The sequence below is a fragment of the Homo sapiens genome, chromosome 19, assembly GCF_000001405.40.
Source record: "Homo sapiens chromosome 19, GRCh38.p14 Primary Assembly".
NCBI classification, from domain to species: Eukaryota; Metazoa; Chordata; class Mammalia; order Primates; family Hominidae; genus Homo; species Homo sapiens.
Window position 1 is genome coordinate 56848669 of NC_000019.10, and position 22243 is coordinate 56870911.

General features: G+C 40.9%; 1 protein-coding gene across 1 annotated transcript; it reads left to right on the top strand.

The window, feature by feature from the left end:
• Positions 1–15493: 15493 nt before the first annotated feature.
• Positions 15494–21903, top strand: LOC124904779 (uncharacterized). Its single transcript, XM_047439800.1, has 2 exons — positions 15494–16390; positions 21654–21903. Exon 1 carries the CDS (start codon positions 15635–15637, stop codon positions 16301–16303), a length of 669 nt encoding a protein of 222 aa, XP_047295756.1. The 5' UTR covers positions 15494–15634; the 3' UTR covers positions 16304–16390; positions 21654–21903.
• Positions 21904–22243: the final 340 nt, after the last annotated feature.

Here is a 22243-nt window from a genome sequence, read left to right on the forward strand (position 1 = left end):
TATCACCTCACTATTTTTGTGTGTGAAGAACACTTAAGATCTACTCTGTTAGCAATTTTCAAGTATAAACTATAGTCACCATACTGTGCAACAGATCACCAGGACTTTTTAATCCCATCTAACCGAAATTTTGCACCCTTTGGCCAACATCAGCTCATCTCCTCTGACCCCTGACAACCACCATTCTACTCTCTACTTGTATGAGTTCAACTTTTTTAGATTCCAAATATAAATGAGATCATGCAGTGTTTGTCTTACCGTAATGTCCTCCAGGTTTATCCATGTTGTCATAAGTGACAGCATTTCCTTCTTTTTAAAGGCTGGAAAAGTATGCCATTGTACATATATTCATTTTATTTATCCATTCATCAATCCATGGACAATTAGGTTGATTCCACATCTTGGCTAATGTGAATAATGCTGCAATGAACATAGAAGTGTATACTGATTTTGTTTAGATATGTAGCCAGAAGTGAGATTGCTGGGTCATACGGTAGTTTTACTTTTTTTAAATGAATTTCCATACTGTTTTCCATAATGGCTATATTAATTTACGTTCCCACCAACAATGTACACAGGTTCCCTTTCTCCATATCTTTGCCAACACTTGAAGCTTTTTAGTTTGATTCAATCCCTTTTGTCTATTTTTGCTTTTTCTGCCTGTGCTTTTAAAGTCTTATCCAAAAATCATTGGTCAGACCAATGACAAGAAGTTTCTTCCGTTACGTTTTCTCCCATTAGTTTCACAGTTTCAGCTCTTAAGTCTTTAATCCATTTTGAGTTGATTTTGTAATATGGTGTGTCTAATTTCATTCCTTCATATATGGATATCTAGTTTTCCCCACCCACTTATTTAAAAAAAAGTCCTTTCCCTGTTGTGTGTTCTTGACACTTTTGTCAAAGATTGACTGACTATAAATTACGGGATCTATTTCTGGGCTATTTTGTTCTATTGGTCTCTATGTCTGGTTTTATGCCAGTATCATGCTGTTTTTATTACTGTAGCTTTATACTCAATTTTGAAATCAGGTAGTGTGATGCCTTTCCAGCTTTGTTCTTTTTGCTGAAAGTTTGGTTATTTGGGGTATTCTGTGGTTTCTTATGAGTTTTAGGAGTATTTTTCTATTTCTGTGAAAAATGACACTGGAATTTTTTTATGGAAATTGCGCTGAATCTACACATCACTTTGGGTAGTATGGAGATTTTAACAATAGTTTCTAATCCATGAACACCAGATATTTTTCTATTTGTGTCTTCAACTTCTTTCATCAAAGTCTTATAGTTTTCAGTGAACAGGTTAATTTTATTTTATTATATTATATATATTATAAATTCTGGTTAAATTTATTCTTAAATAATTTGATGGTACTGTAATAATTTGATGGTACTGTAAATGGAATTGTTTTCTTGATTTCTTTTTCAGATGGTAGTAGTACCTGGAAACAATATTGGTTTTTACTGCAACTTTACTGAATTTGTTTATTAGTTTAACAAGTTTTTGGTGGCATCTTTAGGGTCTTCTATATATAAGACCACATCATCAGCAGAGACAATTTCACTTCTTCTGTTCGAATTTGTATGCCTTTCGTTTTTCCTTATCTTGCTCCTGATCTTAAAGGAAAACCTTTCTGTCTTCTACCACTGATAGTGATGTTAGCTGTGGGCCTGTCATATATGACCTTTAATATTTCGAGGTATGTGCCTTCTATACATAATTTGTTGAGTTTTTATCATGAAAGGAAGTTAAATTTTGTCAGATGCTTTTTCTGCATCAATTGAAATTATCACATTTTCTATGCTTAATTTTGTTAATGTGGTGTATCACATTTACTTATTTGTGTATGTTGAACCATCCTTACATCCCAGTGATTAATCTCACTTAATCATAGCGTATGATCCTTTCAATGAGCTGTTGAATTTAGTTTGCTAGTTATTGTGTTAAGGATTTTTGCGTGTATGCTCATCAGAGATATTGGCCTGTAATTTTCTATTTTTGTAGTGTCTTTGCCTGGCTGTGGTATCAGGGTAATGCTGACCTCATAAAATGAGTTTAAAAGTTTTCCCTCCTCTTTAATTTTTGGAAGAGTTTGAGATGGCTGGGTGTTAATTCTTCCTTAAATATTTGGTAGAATTCACCAGTGAAGCAATCAGGTACCAGGCTTTTCTTTGTTGGGAGGTTTTTGATTATAGATTCAATCTCCTTACTCTTTATTGATCTGCTCAGAACTTCTATTTCTTCATGATTCAGTTTTGGTAGCTTGTATGTTTCTAATAATTTGTTCACTTCTAGGTTATCCAATTTGTTGGTGCATACTTGTTCATAGTAGTATCTTATGATCCTTTGCATTTCTGTGCTATGTCTCCTCTTCCATTTATAATTTTATAATTTATAATTTATTTTATAATTTATAATTTATAATTTTATAATTTTGAGTTTTTTCTTAGCCTAGCTAAAGGTTTGTCAATTTTATCTTTTCAAAAAACCAGATTTCACTATTATGATCATAGTTTCGTTGATTTTTTCTATTGTTTTTCTATTCTCTATTTCATTTATTTTTGCTCTGATCTTTATCTTTCCCTCTTTCTCTAGATTTTGGGCTTAATTTGTTCATCTTTTTCTAGTTTCTTGAGGTGTAAAGTTAGGTTCTTTGAGATCTTTGTTTTTCTTAATATAGAATTTAACACTATAAACTTCCCTTTTAGAATTGCTTTCTCTGCATCCCACGTTCTGGCATGTTGTGTTTCCATTTTCATTTGTCTCAAGATATTTTTTATTTCCCTTATGATTTTTTCTTTGACCTACTGGTTGTTCAGGAGTGAGTGTGTTAATTTCCACATGTTGTTTTCCAATTTTCCTCATTATTGATTTCTAGTTTCATACCATTATAGTCAGAAAAGATACTTCATATAGACATCAATCTTCTTAAATTTGTTAAGGCTTGTTTTGTGGCCTAACATATGATTTGTCCTGGAGAATGTTCCTTGTGTGCTTGAAAAGAATGTATATTCTTCTGCAGTTAGATGGAATGTTCTGTATATGTGTGAGGTCCATTTGGCCTACAGTATTGTTCAAATCTTATTGTTTTCTGCTTACTCTATACATTACTAAAAGTGAGGTACTGATGTGGTTTCGCTCTGTGTCCCTATCCAAATCACATCTTGTGGCTCCCACAATTCCCAAGTGCTGTGGGAGGGACCCAGTGGGAGATAGCTGAATCTTGGGGGCAGGTCTTTCCCATGCTGTTCTCATGATGGTAAATAAGTCTCACAAGATCTGATGGTTTTGAAAATGGTAGTTTCTCTGCACAAGTTCTCTTTGCCTGCCACCATCCACATAAGACTTGACTTGTTCCTCCTTGCCTTCTGACATGATTGTGAGGCCTCCCCAGCCATGTGGAACTGTAAGTCCATTAAACCTCTTTTTCTTCCCAGTCTTGGGTATGTCTTTATCAGCAGCTTGAAAACAGACTAATACAATAAATTGTACCACTAGAGTGGGGCGCTGAAGAGATACCCAAAGATGTGAAAGCAACTTTGGAACTAGGTTAACAGGCAGAGGTTGGAATAGTTTGGAGGGATCAGAAGAAGACAGGAAAATGTGGGAAAGTTTGGAACTTCCTAGAGACTTGTTGAATGGCTTTGAAAAAAATGCTGGTAAGTGATATGAACAATAAGGTCCAGGCTGAGGTGGTCTCAGATGGAGATGAGGAACATGTTGGCAACTGGAGCAAAAGTGACTCTTCTTATGTTTTAGCAAAGAGACTGGCAGAATTTTGTCCCTGCCCCAGAGACCTGTAGAACTTTGAACTTGAAAGAGATGATTTAGGGCATCTGGCGGAAGAATTTTCTAAGCAGCAAAGCATTCAAGAGGTGACTTGGGTGCTGTTAAAGGCATTCAGTTTTATAAGGGAAGCAGAGCACAGGGAATGCTTCCAGTTTTTGCCCATTCAGTATGATATTGGCTGTGGGTTTGTCATAGATAGCTCTTATTATTTTGAGATACGTCCCATCAATACCTAATTTATTGAGAGCTTTTTAGCATGAAGGTTGTTGAATTTTATCAAAGGCCTTTTCTGCATCTATTGAGATAATCATATGGTTTTTGTTGTTGGTTCTGTTTATATGCTGGATTATGTTTACTGATTTGCATATGTTGAACCAGCCTTGCATCCCAGGGATGAAGCACACTTGATCATGGTGGATAAGCTTCTTGATGTGCTGCTGGATTCGGTTTGCTAGTATTTTATTAAGGATTTTTGCATCAATGTTCATCAGGGATATTGGTCTAAAATTCTCTTTTTTTGTTGTGTCTCTGCCAGGCTTTGGTATCAGGATGATGCTGGCCTCATAAAATGAGTTAGGGAGGATTCCCTCTTTTTCTATTGATTGGAATAGTTTCAGAAGGAATGGTACCAGCTCCTCCTTGTACCTCTGGTAGAATTCGGCTGTGAATCTGTCTGGTCCTGGACTTTTTTTGGTTGGTAAGCTATTAATTATTGCCTCAATTTCAGAGCCTGTTATTGGTCTATTCAGAGATTCAACTTCTTCCTGGTTTAATCTTGGGAGGGTGTATGTGTTGAGGAATTTATCCATTTCTTCTAGATTTTCTAGTTTATTTACGTAGAGGTGTTTATAGTATTCTCTGATGGTAGTTTGTATTTCTTTGGGATCGGTGGTGATATCCCCTTTATCATTTTTTATTGCATCTATTTGATTCTTCTCTCTTTTCTTCTTTATTAGTCTTGCTAGCGGTCTATCAGTTTTGTTGATCTTTTCAAAAAACCAGCTCCTGGATAAAAGTTCGAAAAATTTGCAGCCTGACAATGCGATAGAAAAGAAAATCCCATTTTCTGAGGAGAAATTCAAGCCTGCTGCAGAAATGTGCATAAGTAAGGAGGAGCCAAATTTTAATCCTCAAGACAATGGGGAAAATGTCTCCAGGGCATATCAGAGGTCTTCACAGCAGCCCCTCCCATCACAGGCCTGGAGGCATAGGAAGAAAAAATGGTTTTGGGGGCTGCGCCCAGGGTCCCCGTGCTGTGTGCAGCCTAGGCACTTGGTGTCCTGCATCCCAGCTGCTCTAGCCATGACTAAAAAGGGCCAAGACACAGCTTGGCCCATGGCTTCAGAGAGTACAAGTCCCAAGCCTTGGCAGCTTCCACGTAGTGTTGAGCCTGCGGGTGCACAGAAGTCAAGAATTGAGGTTTGGGAACCTCCACCTAGATTTCAGAGGATGTACGGAAACACCTGAATGTCCAGGCAGAAGTCTGCTGCAGGGGTAGGGCTCTCATGGAGAACCTCTGCTAGGGCAGTGCAGATGGGAAATGTGGGGTCAGAGCCCCCAAACAGAGTCCCTACTGGGGCACTGCCTAGTGGAGCTGTGAGAAGAGGGCCACCATCCTCCAGACCCTAGAATGGTAGATCCACCTACAGCTTGCACTGGGCACCTGGCAAAGCTGCAGACACTCAATGCCAGCCCATGAAAGCAGCCTGGAGGGAGGATGTACCCTGGCAAAGCCACAGGGGCAGAGCTGCCCAAGACCATGGGAACCCACCTCTTACATCAGCATGACCTGGATGTGAGACATGGAGCCAAAGAAGATCATTTTGGAACTTTAAGATTTGATTGCCCAGCTGGATTTTGGACTTGCATGGGCCCTGTAGCCCCTTTGTTTTGGCCATTTCTCCCATTTGGAACAGCTATATTTACCCAATACCTGTACCCCCATTGTGTCTAGGAAGTAACTAGCTTGCTTTTGATTTTACAGGCTCATAGGCAGAAGGGACTTGCCTTGTCTCATATGAGACTTTGGACTGTGGACTTCTGAGTTAATCCTGATATGAGTGAAGACTTTAGGGGACTGTTTGGATGGCATGATTGGTTTTAAAATGTGAAAACATGAGATTTGGGAGGGGCCAGGGGAGGAATGATGTGGTTTGGCTCTGTGTCCCCATCCAAATTTCATCCTGTGGCTCCCATAATTCCCACGTGCTGTGGGAGGGACTCAGTGGGAGATAGCTGAATCATGGGGGTGGGTCTTTCCTGTGCTGTTCTCATGATGGTGTATAAGTCTCATGAGATCTGATGGTTTTGAAAATGGTAGTTTCCTTGCACAAGCTCTCTTTCTTTGGTGCCATCCATGTAAGACTTGACTTGCTCCTCCTTGCCTTCTGCCATGACTGTGAGGCCCCCCAGCCATGTGGAACAGTAAGTCCGTTAAACCTCTTTTTCTTCCCAGTCTTGGGTATGTCTTTATCAGCAGTGTGAAATTGGACTAATACAGGTACTGAAATCCTCTGACTTTATTTCTAGGTGTTTGTTTGTTTGTTTGTTTTTGAGACAGAGTCTCACTCTGTAGCACAGGCTGGAGTGTAGTAGCATGATCTCGGCTCACTGCAACCTCTGCCTCCCGGATCCCGGTTAAGCAATTCTCCTGCCTCAGCCTCCTGAGTAGCTGGGATTACAGGCGCGTGCTGGAGATGGCATGGTGGGGTTCCACCATGTTGGAACCCCATGAGACTTTGGACTGTGGACTTCTGAGTTAATCCTGATATGAGTGAAGACTTTAGGGGACTGTTTGGATGGCATGATTGGTTTTAAAATGTGAAAACATGAGATTTGGGAGGGGCCAGGGGAGGAATGATGTGGTTTGGCTCTGTGTCCCCATCCAAATTTCATCCTGATGGGGTTCCACCATGTTGGCCAGGCTGGTCTCGAACTCCTGACCTAGTTATCCGCCCACCTCAGCCTCCCAAAGTGCTGGGATTACCGGCATGAGCCACCACACCCGGCCATATTTCTAGTTTTTAAAATACCTAAAACTATACATATTGATAGGTATAAGCCACATAAGCAAAAGTTCTTTAGGGTCCTCATTTTCATGAGTGTAAATGGGTTTTGAGACCAAAAAGCTTGAGAATCTCTGGTCTACAGTAAATCTGTAACAGTCTGGGTTATTTGAGCAGATTGGATGGAAATCTGTCTTTTTCACTATTATGATCTCAAGGCCTAGCACAAAGCTTAATACACAGAAGTCTCTCGATAAATGATTATTCAGCTATTGTTTCAGCAAATATTTGAGTACCTACTATCTTATTAGGTTGGTCAAAAGTAATAGTGGTTTTCGCAATTACTTTTAATATAAGACCCAATGCTAGGTCAACTTCATGGTTCATTGTAAATCAAATTGAAATGGCCCCTGCCATAACTTATTTATTTAATATGTCTTCAGAGTTTCAGTCCAGCTGGGAAGAGACATTCAATAAACCTTTAAAGATTATGGTAAATGCTTTAAACAAACAAACAAACAAAAAACCCAGGATGCCGAAATGAGGATGGTTATGTTTGTATGGTAGATACAGAATAGTCAGGGATCTCTGAGGAAGAGAAACTAAGACTAAATTTTGAAAAAGCCAGCCTGGGGAAGAAGAAGGGAAGAACATTTCAAAAAGACAAAACAGGCAGGGCGTGGTGACTCACGCCTGTAATCCCAGCACTTTGGGAGGCTGAGGCGGAGGATCACTCGAGGTCAGGAGCTTGAGACCAGCCTGGCCAACATGGTGAAACCCCGTCTCTACTAAATATACATAAATTAGCCAGGCATGGTAGTGCATACCTGTAATCCCAGCTACTACTCGGGAGGCTGAGGTGGGGGAATCGCTTGAACCCAGGAGGCAGAGGTTGCAGTGAGCCGAGATCGCACCACTTAACTCCAGCCTGAGCAACAGAGCGAGACTCCATCTCAAAACATAAAAAAATAAAAAGAACAAAACAGCAATATACAAAGATAATAAAGGAAAAAAAACAGAAAAGACATCAGAGTGGCTAGAGGATAATGAGGGGTGTAAAATGAGGTTGTACAGGTATTCAAAAGCCAGCTCTTTTGGAACTGTAGATTAAGAGGAAGATCTTGAACTTAATCCTAAATGTAATGGAGGCCATTAAAGATTTTTAAATAAGGCCTGACACAGTGCATTTTAAGATGATTCATGTTGCTCTGTGGAGAACTAGGGGACTAGAGATACTTAACAGAGGAAGCAGGAAGACCAGTTAAGGGGCAGCAAAGGATGGCAGGGCTCCAAACTAGTATGGTGGCAGTAGAGATACGCAGAAGTGAACAAATACAAGATGTACTTTGGAAACAATATAGAGAAATCTTGCTGATGATTTGTGTATGTGTGGCAAAGAAAAAAGAATCAGAAATGAGTTCCACATTTCTGGTTTGGACAACTGGGTGCACAGGAGTGTTATTTGGTGAGTAACTGAGACACAGGTTTCAGGGTAAGAGCATAACATCAAAAGCTATGTGGGACATGTAATATTTAAAATGCTTACACTAAAGCAAGTGGAGACACTGAGCAGGGATTCTGGAGAGGTCTCTGCCAGGGCTCTGAAGTCCTCCACACATAGCTGATTTGTTGCATGGTCAGATTAAAATAAACACTACTTTACAAGATAAATAAATAAACCAGTTCTTAAGTATTTCGAATTCATGTGTATATATTCGGTGCTGCTGGATAAATATCTTCAGATACAAATTTGTACACCGTTCCTCAGTAGTGCAAATCTAACAAATTTTCCTTAAGGAAAACTTTTATTTTTTAACTTTCTCAAGTAGGAGTTTCAGGACAGTATAAAGCCAAACATTCATATTAAAGTAACCAACCCTTTCACAAAAAGTACCACTAAGTCCAAATATTAAAAGAACAGTTCCCAAAAGCAATTAATTACATACAGGATTAAAGACAGGCAAAAGACCACCTCCATCATGAATCAGATATTATAAAAGGAAAATATGTCAAGTCTGGCAGACAGTGTTAAGGTTCAGAACTAAAGTTCAGCTTATATGTCCCTGTCCAAAAGGGCACTGGACACCATTTCTCATGAGAAGCTAAAACATTCAGAAGTCAAGCTATAACATGGTAACCAAAGTAGTACATGTAGAAAATGCAGGGTTACTCATCCACTTTTTGCTCAAGTTGGCTTACCAGCCAGAAAGCTCTAACCCTGAACTGGCAAAATGGTAGATGTTCATTTATCCAACCATCTAATAAACAGGTAATGCGTATCAACTACATTCAGACACTAGAGACACAGTGATAAACAATGGAGACACAGTCTCTGCCTTCATGGGGCTTATAGCTCACTGATGAAGCCAAACAATCAAATAAGCATATAAATAACATAAGTAACAAGCAATAAATGTGATGAAAGAAATATTGTGCTATAACACATATATCAGAGAGCCTGACCCAGACTAGGTAATAAAGAAAGACATTCCATGCCTAGTTAACGGTGTGCACAAGGCTTATGAGGCTGGAGGAGTACAGAAACCTGTGTAGCTAGAATACAGAATGGCATAAGATAAAGGCTACAGAAGCACAGAAGAGTCAGACCCTGCAAGACCTGTAGGCCATTTAACGACTGGAGATCCCATACAACCCGCAACTGTAGCACACTACAAGAATTTCTCCCAGGTGAGATCGGCACTCACATCTCAAGCAGGTCCCCTGAAAAACAGCATGATTTCCACACATACTCACATGTCAATGCCTAAGAACATGACCAGAATGATAAGGAGAGCTACTCTGGCTTCCACAATGCAGATCATCGTGCAGGTAGAGAAAATCATTTTTATCTGGTTCATTTTAAAGGCCCATCATGAGATAAACCTAAGAAGAATGGAGAAAAAGGCAATAATTGATATAAAAGTAAAACATGAATCAGAAAGCAGAAAAACATCTGGAGCTAAGAGATACAGATTTAACAAAGTCTAACAATAAGTAAAATGTTCACAAAGAGGAGACTGGATGAATAAATTATGGCACATACATTTAATAGAAAAATCTACAATGATAAAAAAGCATGCAAAAACTCTTATGGAACAATCGCCAAGATACATTGTTAAATGAAAAGCCAAGGTGTTGAACAGTAAACACAGTATACTTCATTTATTAAATAAAAAGAGAAACACACTGTATACATATTTGCTTCTATATGCATGGAATAACACTGGAAGGATATTCACAAAACTATTGACATTGGTTATCTTTTTTTTTTTCTTTTTCTGACTCAAACACATCTTCTGAGACACTGGTTATCTATAGAGAGGGAAAGATGGGAGGAGGAATTTTCTCCTTTTTGAATTTCAAACCACACAAATATATTACCTATTAAAAGTTTAAAAAAGTTAATATTCAATATGATTTTAGATGAGTACATATGAAAATTTTAATGAAAAGGAACATTTTCAAGGAAAATAAAAATTAGCAAACTGACTGCCAAATGGGGGGGAAAAAAGGTAAGAAAAGCCTTCTTACAAAGAATCCTGTATGTTAAAACTTTCTGGTACATTTTAATAATCTAGCCCCCACAGGCTCCATGAGATAAAACTAATATTTATTGAATATTTCCCGTGTGCTATATACTGCATCAAGCATTACATGTATTTGCAGCTCATCCTCACAATTCCTGAGATAGGTGTTCTCATCACCTCTATTTTACATATAAGGAAACTGAAGCATATCCAGTAAGTAACTCCAGAGGTCAGACTCTGCAACCACTATCCTACATTAATTCTGTATTAATAAACTGGAAAACCTTAAAGAAATGCATAATTTTCTAGGGAAACAAAATTACTTGAAATCTGTTTGACTGTAAGTGTTCTTCCAATGCCTAAGGAACAAATTATTCTTAGTCTGCACAGATAGTTCCCAGGACATTAAGAAGAAAAAGACGAGGGCTTGCCAATTCATTGAACTAAATTAGAAGAGTGGCTTTCAAGAACATATTTCCTACAATGAAAATGTGTTACAAGAATAGCTATCTTGTATGGGATACTTACCCTGTGCCAGGCACTGGAGTAAGTGCTTTATAAAAGATCTGGGTGCCACTTGGAAAACAATCTGGCAGTTCTTCAAAACGTTAAACATAGAGTTACCACATGACCCAGTAATTCTACTGGTAGGTAAAATTAAAACACATGTTCACACAAAAACTTGCACATCAATGTTCTTAACAGCATTATTCATAACATAGCCAAAAAGGGGAAAAAACCCAAATGGCCATTAGCTGATGAACAGATAAATAATGTATAGCCAAACAACAGAATATTATTTGGCAATAGAAAAGAACAACGTTCTAATACATGCTACAGCATAGATGAACTTTGAAAACAGTAGGCTAAGTAAAAAAAGGCAGTCACAAAAGCTCACACCTTGTATGATTCCATTTATATGAAATGTCCAGAATAGGCAAATCTATAGACAGAAAATAGGTGAATGGTTCCCTACGGTTGGAGGAAGAGGGGAATGAGGAGTGAAGAGTTTTTTTTTAGGGTAATTAAAATGTTCTCAGATTGAGGGCAGTGATGGCCATACAACTCTGAATATTACTAAACACCACTGAACTGTACACACTGTAAATAGGTGAATTGTATGGCAGACGAATTATATCTTGGTAAGGCTGTTATTAAAAATACATATCTAGGTGTATTTTCCTAACAACCTTAATGAAACTGAAACTAATATACTTATTTTGTAGACGAGAAATCTGCAGCTCAGAGGGGACACTATCTACTCATGGTCATAATCTAAATAGTTGAGAAAGCCAGAATTCAAATACGAGTTTTTCTGTCTATACTGCTTACTATCTCCCAACACAATCCTATGCAAATGCACTGAAAATCTTCAAGAAACGGCCCCCCTTTTTCTTAGAAAACAAACTTATGGGTTGGGCGTGGTGGCTCACGCTTGTAATCCCAGCACTTTGGCAGGCCGAGGTGGGCGGATCACCTGAGGTCAGGAGTTCGAGACCAGCCTGACCAACATGGAGAAACCCCATCTCTACTAAAAATACAAAAAAAAAAAAAATTAGCCAGGCGTGATGGTGCATGCCTGTAATCCCAGCTACTAGGGAGGCTGAGGCGAGAGAATTGCTTGAACCTGGGAGGTGGAGGTTGCGGTGAGCCGAGATTGCGCCATTGCACTCCAGCCTGGGCAACAAGAGCAAAAGTCCGTCTAAAAAAAAAAAAAAAAAAAAAAAAAAAGAAAACAAACTTATGACTAACAGGTTCATGAAGGCAGCCTCCTAAGAACAAATAATTCATATACAGTTGAAAATCCCAAATCCAAAAAAATCAGAAATCCAAAACACTTCTGGTGTCAAGCATTTCAGATAAGGAATACTCAACCTACAATGCTATTAAGCATTTCAAACCTACAATAAGAGGGAAGCTGTCCATTTAAGAAGCTAGCAGATGGCTTCCAAGTGCATCTTAATTCAAGAGTGCCCTGGAGAATAATAAAAATAATAGCTATAATTTATTAAACTTTTACAATGGGTAAGGCCTGGCACCAAGCACCTTATGTGAATGATTATGTTTAATTATCATAACAACTTAATAAGGTAGATGCCATTATTACCCAGGTTTTACAGATGAGAGGCAAGCCTTAAGAGGTATTTTTTCCCAGGTTACAAGCTAAAGGGTGGCAGAGCTAGAAATCAAACTCAAATCTGTTAGATTCCTGAGCCTCAGCCCTCAACCACCACTCAGTACATTTCTAGGCTATTAAATTTGAAAGCCATAATGAAATGGAACGTTCTTGAAAGGAAGGGAGATAATAAACACTTGGCAGACGTCAGGGGAGTACTTTCCTCAAAAAGTTCTCCAAGCCTTTGCCATTTATAGGCAACTTTCTTCACATTTCCAAAGAACAAATAATTCTTATGCTTTATAAATTGTGTAAATTTCAGCAAAAAGAGACAAAAGTGTTTCATTTGAAGAAAGCACATGGATTTTCAACCCCAAATATACCTTATTTTGACATAATAAGAATGTGTATGTACCAGGAATGTGTCTGAGCACTTTATAATTGTTAGCTTCTCAAATCTTCATGACAACTATCTAAGGTAGGTACTATTAATAATCCCTATTTTACAGATGAGGAAGGGGAAGCACAGAGAGGGTAGATGACTGGCACAAAGTCACATGGCTAGAAAGTGGCTAGGATTAAAAACCAAGTCATCTAGCTCTACCCTCCAGCACTTAGTCTACTCAACCAACTCTCAAAAAAGAATATGCTATAGCTAATATATGATTCACTGGACTCCTAGCACTGTGGATTATCACACTGACTCCCTTCACATGTATTATCCCAACTGACAACCAAGAAGGTAGGTAAGTTTACTGCCTATTGCAAGATGAAGACCATGAGGCTGAGTGATGTGCTAATTTGCCCAAATACACCCAATTAACACATATCAGAACCAAAATTTTATTAAACCCACGTCTTTCTGACTCTACATCACACCACTAGTCACTGTGTCATGAAATACTATGGTAGGGGTCAGCAAATTACAGCAAGCAGGCCAAGTCCAGTCTGCTGTGTTTTTATACAGTTCACACAGCCAAAATACAAAAATTCGGTTGAATCAAAAATAGATGGGCCAGGCACAGTGGCTCATGCCTGTAATCCCAGCATGTTGGGAGGCCGAGGTGGGTGGATCACGAGGTCAGGAGATCGAGACCATCCTGACTAACAAGGTGAAACTCCGTCTCCACTAAAAATACAAAAAATTAGCCAGGCGTGGTGGCACACACCTGTAGTCCCAGCTACTCAGGAGGGTGAGGCAGGAGAATCGCATGAACCTGGGAGGCGGAGGTTGCAGTGAGCCGAGATCGCACCACTGCACTCCAGCCTGGGCGACAGAGCAAGACTCCGTCTCAAAAAAAAACAAAAAAAACTTGATGGTTGAAAAAAACAAAATATTTCATGAGAAAATTAAATGAAACCTAAATTTCAATGTTCATAAATAACATTGGCTGTGTTTTACTGGACCCAGACACACCCATTTATTTACAGCTGCTTTCACACTACAAGGACAGAACTGAGTAATTTTGACAAGACATCGGTATATCGAACAAAGCCTGAAATATTCTCTGTTTGGCCATTTACAGAAAAGATTTGCTGACCCTCTTTGTTATTATATTTAAAACTCTTATTAAAAGGGAGGAGTAGTGCACAAAAAGTACCCCCCAACCCCCGAAAAAAGGAAGAAAAAGCATGGCCTCAAAAGGTGACTGGAGTAGGAATGGAAACTAACCTCCAACTTTCAAGGAACAAATAATGTCTCTGTTCCATAAAGTGTTCCAAGGCCTAGAAAACAGTGGAGGGCTTCCCAGTTCATTTTAATTAACTGGTTCACAGAGGTTTACAATCCCTAAGCTGTTTTAATTGGAAAGAACGCTGCAGAATGGAAATAACAACAGCTGGCAGTTATGGAACTTTCCCTGTGCTGCCAGGTGCTGTGGTTAAATAGAAGATTTCCATTTAATCTTCCTGACAACCAGGAAGGTAGGGTGCCATTGTTATCCAATTCCACGGATGAACCTGGGTCCTCGGGATGTTAAACAAATTGCCGTATGTTCCACATAGAGCTCAGCACTCTAACCCTCATTTCTGCCCTCCAGAGATTAGTCTTAACACCCCACCATTTACTTTTATTAATAAATCTGCAAACATAAGGAAATACATAATTTCCTGAAAAAATATAACGTACCAAAAGTAACTATCAAAATAATCTTGGTGAGCTGTATAAATTTCCTACCAACTCCCAGGAAGCAAATAAGTATGTGCCACAAATTGATCTGGGTCATAAGAAAACAGACAAGTTTTAATACCCTAGCTCACTGGGTTGCAATAGCACTCATCTCTAACTCATCACCACTAAAAAAAAAAAAAAAAAAGCACAATTAAAAAAAAAACCATGCAAGATAATGATAGCTAACATTTTTAGCTGAACTATGTGCCAGACACTAAACACTCCTCATGCAATAACTCATTTAAACTAGGAATAAATATCCCCTGCAGACTAAGACATAAGGAGGTTAAATGGTTGTCCAAAATCACACAAGCGAGAGGGCCTGGATCCAAATCCAAGCCAGCAAGTGAACAAACCCGGCATCCTTAACAGACTTTCAGCTAATAAGTCTGAGAATCCTAATTATACATGCTCAATCCAGGGAAAAAAGAAATTGACAAAACTGAGCCAAACTTAAGGGCATAAAGGGGTGCGTGGTACACCTACAGCTTTCAAGCAATGTCAACAGTCTCTACGATTCACTCAGCAAAGCAGTTCTGAACCAAAACTAGCTTCCTCTAAAAGAGACCAAACTCCACATAAACGTTACAATATGGATGAACTTCAAAAGTGTTCTGCTAAAGGTAAGAAGAAAACATCATAAACTGTACAATTCAGTTTTCATGGAACGTCCAGAAAAGGGAAATCTCAAGAGCCATAAAGTGGATTAGTGCTTGCCTGGGGCTGATCCTCAAATGGGCTCGAGGGAACTGGGGATGGTGGGATTGGTTGACGTAAACATTCTAAAAGTGGGTTGCGGTGATGGCTGTACAACTCATACATTTACCAAAAAATATTCAGTTGTACACTGGGTACATTTTGACGTAATCTGCATCTCCACAGAACTGTGTAAAAGAGGCTGAGTACCCCAGCAACTGCTTCTTGTCGAAAGCCATTTCCTATCCTCCGCGCTAGGCGTCTCACAGGCTTTTCCCCCAGTCAAATCAATGCTAATAATCGGAAATAGCAAGTTCTGAGAAACGCTAGCGTAGAATGGGCGCACTAGGGGTAAGGGGATGGGCCCCAGACTTCAGCAGCCGTTCTGGGAAGTTGCTCGCCTTTTTCGAAGACTCTAGCTGCAAAACTGGAAGCCGTCGGTGGGGCAAGGCAGAGAAGAGACCACGTCTGGCGGATGAGTCCTGTGATTATCAGGTCACCTGGGTAACGCCCAACCACGACGGGCTGGGTCTCAGCGCGAGGCCTGCAGCCCGGCGCCGACTGGAATCCCCAGCACTGCCGTCTGGAGGACATCGGCGGTATCTCCCCAAGAGACGGGAAGTCTGTGTGTCGAAGAGGCGCGGGACGCAAGCCCACCAACCTGGCCGACCCCAGGGAAAGGCCGAGCGTCCAGCCCGCGGGGGCCCAAGATGGTGCCAGAGTTCGAGGCCCTCTGTGCATGCACCCCGCCCGCCTTCGAATCTAGCCTGTTCGCCGTTGTGGTTTGTCCTCCCGGTTCCTCTGAAGGAGTTGGTCAGTAGAACCATGGCCTCCATTGACTACGTCCTCAGAGTCGCAGCTCTCTTCAGTCGAGCTCCAGTCACAGAGGACGGTTGTGGTGAGACCCAGGCAGAAGTATTTCCGGTCAACGAGGTCGCGGGTAGTGCGCATGCGCTTCGTGCAGGGCCCTGCGCAAGGGCGCCTGGGAAACCTTGCGAGAAGTGACACACGCCCTGTCCTCAGGGAGCCCACGGCCGACTGGGAAACAGGAGAACGGGTCAAACGTGGGACGTCCGTCAGCTATACCGAAAGGTCTGTGATAGAGCTTGGAGAAATGTGCATTTGGACACATTATTTTTACATTGTGATCTAGACAGTGAGGTAATCTTTTAAAAAATAAGTTTTAGAATTCTATTAAATTTCAGTTTTAGAATTATATTTAATCATATTTTGAATATTTTGAAATATTTTGAAATTTCATACGGTTTTTTTGTTTTTCCGGTTTTTTTGAGACAGGGTCTCGCTCTATCATCCAGGCTGGAGTGTAGTGATGTGATCACAGCTCACTTCACCTCAACTTCCCAGGCTCAAGTGATCCTCCCTCCTCAGCCTCCTGAGTAGCTGGGACTACAGGCACGCACCATTACACACAGCTAATTTTTTTTTTTTTTTTGGTATTTTTGTAGAAATGGGGTTTCACCACGTTGCCCAGACTGATCTCGAACTTCTGGGCTCAAGAGATCCGCCTGCCTCGGCCTCCCAAGATTTCGTTATGTTGTGGGGAAAAGATGTATGATTCTATGATCAGAATGAAAGCTCTGAGAGGGCAGCCACTGATGAGTGTAGGTGCAGTATCCTCTACACCTTGCATGGTACTTGGCATGGAATGGATGCTCCTTGAGTATTTCTCAAATGACTGACTGGAGTCTTTGAAAAAGGCACCCTGAGTTACTGTTAACAGACAGATTCGCTAATAATTAGCTACTGTTAATCGGATAGATTAGCTAATAACACCAACTTTTGATTTGTCTCAGAGTGACCTAGTGTGAAAAGTAGGGTTGCAGATTTAGTAAATAAAAAATGTAGGATAACCCTGTCAAATGTGATTTTCAGATAAACTAAGCAAATAATTTGTTAGCATAAGTATGTCCCGTTTGGATATGCTGGGTGTCCTATATTTTATCTAGCAACTTAGAAGACATGTTAAGGTGGGGGGGAAAAATGATTGTGTTCCTCTTAGAAAAAGAACTGGAGGAGAAAAGAAAACGGTATCCGGAATTTGTAAATAAGTACTTCCAAACAATTCTAAAGCAGGTCAGAAAACTACACTTGAGAAACTGTGATTTATAAAGTTCGTGGTAAGTGTTGTATTTATATCATCTTAATTGAAACCTCTTACACAGTAGAACGATTATTTTTATTTTATAAGTGCAAACAGAAGCTCAGAGATAGGAGGTTACTTGTCCAAGTTCTAATATTTTCACTGTCACCCCAAAAAATATGTATTGAGGCCTCTCGGTGGCTCATGCCTGTAATCCTAGCACTTTGGGAGACTGAGGCAGGCAGATTGCCTGAGCTCAGGAGTTCGAGACCAGCCTGGCCAACATGGTGAAACCCTGCCACTACTAAAAGTACAAAACATTAGCCAGGTGTGGTGGCGCTACCCTGTAGTCCCAGCTACTTGGGAAGCTGAGGCAGGAGGATCGCTTGAACCCGGGAGGGGGTGGTTACAGGGAGCAGAGATCACACCACTTCACTCCAGCCTGGGAGACAGAGTGAGACTCCATGTCAAAAATAAATAAATAAATAAATAAAATAATAATTATTATTTATTGAGAGCTGACTGTGTGCTGCTGGTCTCGGATTTCTATTCCACATAATCTGCCTCCAGAGCTGGAAAATTCCAGTGTCTGACCATTCCTCAGCCTCCCTCCCCTTCCCCACTCCAGCTGCAGTTTCCATGGTAACAAACTGAACCTGCTTCTGTAGCTAACAAGAGCTAAGAGTTTTTGAGAGGGAATAAGCCAGAACAACTGACGTCAGCATACCCTGGCTGGGGGATGGGAAGGACTGCTTGAAGCCCTAAAGCCTTCTATTCCTCCATCAATGGTTTATGCAAGAATTTTGTATGTGTCAACATCTGTCCTTGGATGGAGTCTCTGCAAAAGAACAAAAATTGTCTATGTAAACCTCTGCAGACCCCATGAATTCATAAGTTTTCACTTCAGGAATTGCTTCAAACACTGGTGACATAAACTTTATGCATCCTTACCATATTAAAATGTATTTAGTCATTATTCAACCAATAATGATGGGGGGCACTTCTACATATCAAACAGTGCTAGATCCCAAGGATATAATTACTATCAAAACATACACAGTCTCTATTTTCCTGTTTCTTAGAGTTCAGTGGAAGAGACATTTGTTTATTCTTCAGTGTATTCTAAGGACCCTTATGTGTGAGACATGTATTAGGGACTGGGAGATACACAGATGAGTTCAAAACAAATCGTTGAGCTGCATGGAAATGATCCTGGTGGGATTGGGGTCAGACATTAAATAGATAATCACAAAACAGCAGATATTTACTGAGCAGCTACTGTGGTGCCAGGCACTGTTTTAGGCAAGGGGAGGACAGCAGGGAACAAAATAGACTTGGTGTCTGTTCTCATGGAACTTACATTCTGATGGAGAGGGAAAATATATAAATGAATTCATTTGCTTTTAGTTAGAAGAAAAAGGATATTAAACTCAAATTGACTTAAATAAAAAGGAGAATTTATTGGCCTAAGTAACTGAAAATGCCAGAGATAGAACTGATCTCATCAGTATTCATGAACATAATTTATGTTGTTGCAGATCTCTGTAGTTTTTCTGCCCAACACTCCTTCCCCAGGCTTCCTGCCACAGAAGCCTTCTTTCCTATGGAGAACTGGTTAGCATCTGACCTAGGCCTGGTCACTTCATGCTGTTGCTATGCCCACAGTGATTGGTTCAGGAATGGGCACATGACTCCAATGGGCCAGTCAGAGACTTACTGACCTGGGACTTTTCCTTGGGAATTATGAGAAATATCGTTCCCTTTGCTGTGATGCTAAACTGGTCTGAAGTGTGCCTGGCCTATAGCCATCTTTTTTGCCTATCTGAATAAGTCAAGAAAGAGCATCCCACTGTGTGTTTTTAAGCTTCTACTAGATAATGCATGTAATGTGCTTAACACAGAGTAAATTCTCAATAAATGTTAGCCAGTGTTGTTAGTGATTTACAAAGGAATGAGTGAGAAGAAATTATTTGCAGGAACTGAAAGATTGTGCTTCAAAATGAAGGTAAATCAGGAGGGTTTTTGGAGTGCATGGAATGAAAACATGGAGGTCCACAGTATAGAGCAATGTTTCCTCTGAGCCACGATGAGGTTTTATGAGCTGTCCAGGGTTCACTGAAGAATATACTTGCCTGGATTCAAAATGCTTGGACCAACCCATTCAGACATTCACTGACCCCTTCCCTGGGTAAGATTCTGTAAAAGAGAAGATGCACAAGGCATGATCATAGCCATTGAGGACCTTATACTCAACTGGAGTAGCAGGGAGGTGAACAACCAGTAACAGTAAGGCCAGAGGAGTACGGGGCAAGCTTCAGCTCCACATTCATTTACATAAGAAATACACAGGAACATATCTAACATGCCAGCCATGGTGCGAGGTGTAAGAGATATTGTATTGAACCAAACTGATGCCTTTTTTATTGGAACTTATAATCAAGTGCAGTGGTTAGCAAAACTTCAGGAACAGACCAGACAATAACTATTTTAGGCTTGTGGGCTGTACAGTCTCTGTTGTAACTATGCAACTCTACCATTTTGTGTAAAATCTGCCATGGACAATATGTACGTGAATGAACATGGCTATGTTCCACATTATTTTGGGACACTGAAATTTGAATTTCAGATGATTTTGTCACATCAAAAATACTCTTCTTTGGATTTGTTTTCAACCATTTAAAAATACTGAAACCATTCTTAGCTCATGAGCCATACAAAAACAGGCAGTGGGGCCAGTTGTAGTTGCTCATGCCTATAATCCCAGCACTTTAGGAGGCCAAAGCAGGAGGATCGCTTGAGCCCAGGAGTTCCAGACTAGCCTGGGCAACATAGAGAGACCCTATCTCTACTAAAAATAGAAAAATTAGCTAGGCATGGTGGCACATGTCTGTAATCCTAGCACTTTGGGAGGCCAAGGAGGTAGGATCGCTTTAGCCCAGGAGTTCAAGATCAGCTTGTGCAATGTATCAAAACTTCACCTCTACATAAATATTAAGGCTTAAACAGCAGAAATGTGTTGTCTCACAGTTCTGAAGGCCAGAAACCCAGCAGGGCTGGTTCCTTCTGACAACAGGGAAGAAGGATCTGTTCCAGGCCTCTCCCCTAGCTGCTGGGGGTTTGCTGGCAGTCATTGGCCATCATTGGCCTCCATTGGCCATTGCCCTGATCTCTGTCCTCATCTTCACATTGTCTTCTCCTGTGTACACATCTGTGTCCAAATTCCTCCTTTTCATAAGGACCCCAGTCGTACTGGATTAGGGCCTGTCATACTCCAGTGTGACCTCGTCTTAATGTCTTACATCTGCAACAACCCTATTTCTACATAAGGCCACATCCTTAGGTAGTCTGGGGGCTCAGACTTTAACATATGAATTTCTGGGGTGGGGTTGGGGATCCCACAGCAGCAAGTGTGCCAGCCTCTTTGCTGGTCTCCCTGCTTCCACTTTTTCCCACTTCCTTTCATTTCCCCAGCCTAGGCAAGGGTGACCTTTCTAAAATGCAGACAGGACCAGGAGCCTGCTGTGAGTCATGGGGCTCACTGAGGCCTTGTTTTTTGGTTTTTTGCTTTTTGGGATTTTTGTTTGTTTGTTTGTTTTTGAGACACAGTTTCGCTCTTATTGCCCAGGCTGGAGTGCAGTGACGAGGTCTCAGCTCAGGAATCAAGGGAGGATTCCTAGGTGTCGTGGGCCAGCGTCCCCTCTGCACGTTCAGCCCATGTGGATGTTTTGAAGCTTCCTCTCCTCGGGGGGCACAAGCTTCAGCCAGAAAATTCATCCCATTTGTCTCAACATTTCTGTAACTCTCCAAAGAAATTTGATCATCTCCCACTATCAGCACTGTCAGTTGGGGTCTGTCCCCAGGACTCCATCCATGTTGCCACCATCTCTCCCTGGGCATCTGCTGTGGCCTCCTAAACGTTCTTCCTTTTCTATCTAGTCACCTTCCACCCGTTCCACACACACACAGTGGCCAAAAAGAAAGCCTCACTGTGTAATCTCCTGCCCCTGCTCCGGGTACCCCAGGGCTGCCGCCCATCAGGGTAAAGTCCAAGTGGCCAACATGATGCCTCGGGCCCTCCAAACCCAACCTTGCCAGCTGGCCCAGCTTCACCTCTCTCTGCTCCCATCCTGGGTCTCCATGCTGCGGCAGTAATGACAATCTTCCAGTTCCCTGCGGAGGCCACGTGCCCTCTGAGGAGCTGGCTGTACTCACTGTCCCCATAGACTCATTTCTCCCCTCCCATTTTCTCCTCAGTTCACTCCAACCAGGATTTGCTGCCACTCTACAAAATCTTCTCAAGATCAACAATACCCTCTGCCTGACCAACATGGTGAAACCCCGTCTCTACTAAATACAAAAAATTAGCTGGGCCTGGTGGCTCTTGCCTGTAATTCCAGCTACTTGGGAGGCTGAGGCAGGAGAATCGCTTGAACCTGGGAGGCAGAGGTTGCAGTGAGCCGAGATTGCGCCCCTGCACTCCAACCTGGACAACACAGCGAGATTCCGTCTCAAAAAAAAAAAAAAAAGAAAAAAGAAAAAACACACACACAAGAAAACAAAAAACAAACAAAAACTACATCAGACACTTTCTAAGGATTAGGAATGTATTGGTTAAAAATCAGGTGAGGCAGTTGTCTCTGGAGATGATGTCTTAAAATTAAAACATGAATGGAAACCCAATATGGTCTACCCATACAATGGAATATTGTTCAGCCTTAAAAAGGAAGGAAACTCGGGCACTTCTTACAACATCGATGAACATTATGACATTATGTTAGATGGAAGAAGCCAGTCACAAAAGGACAAATACTGTATGATTCCACATGAGGTACTTAGAGTAGTCA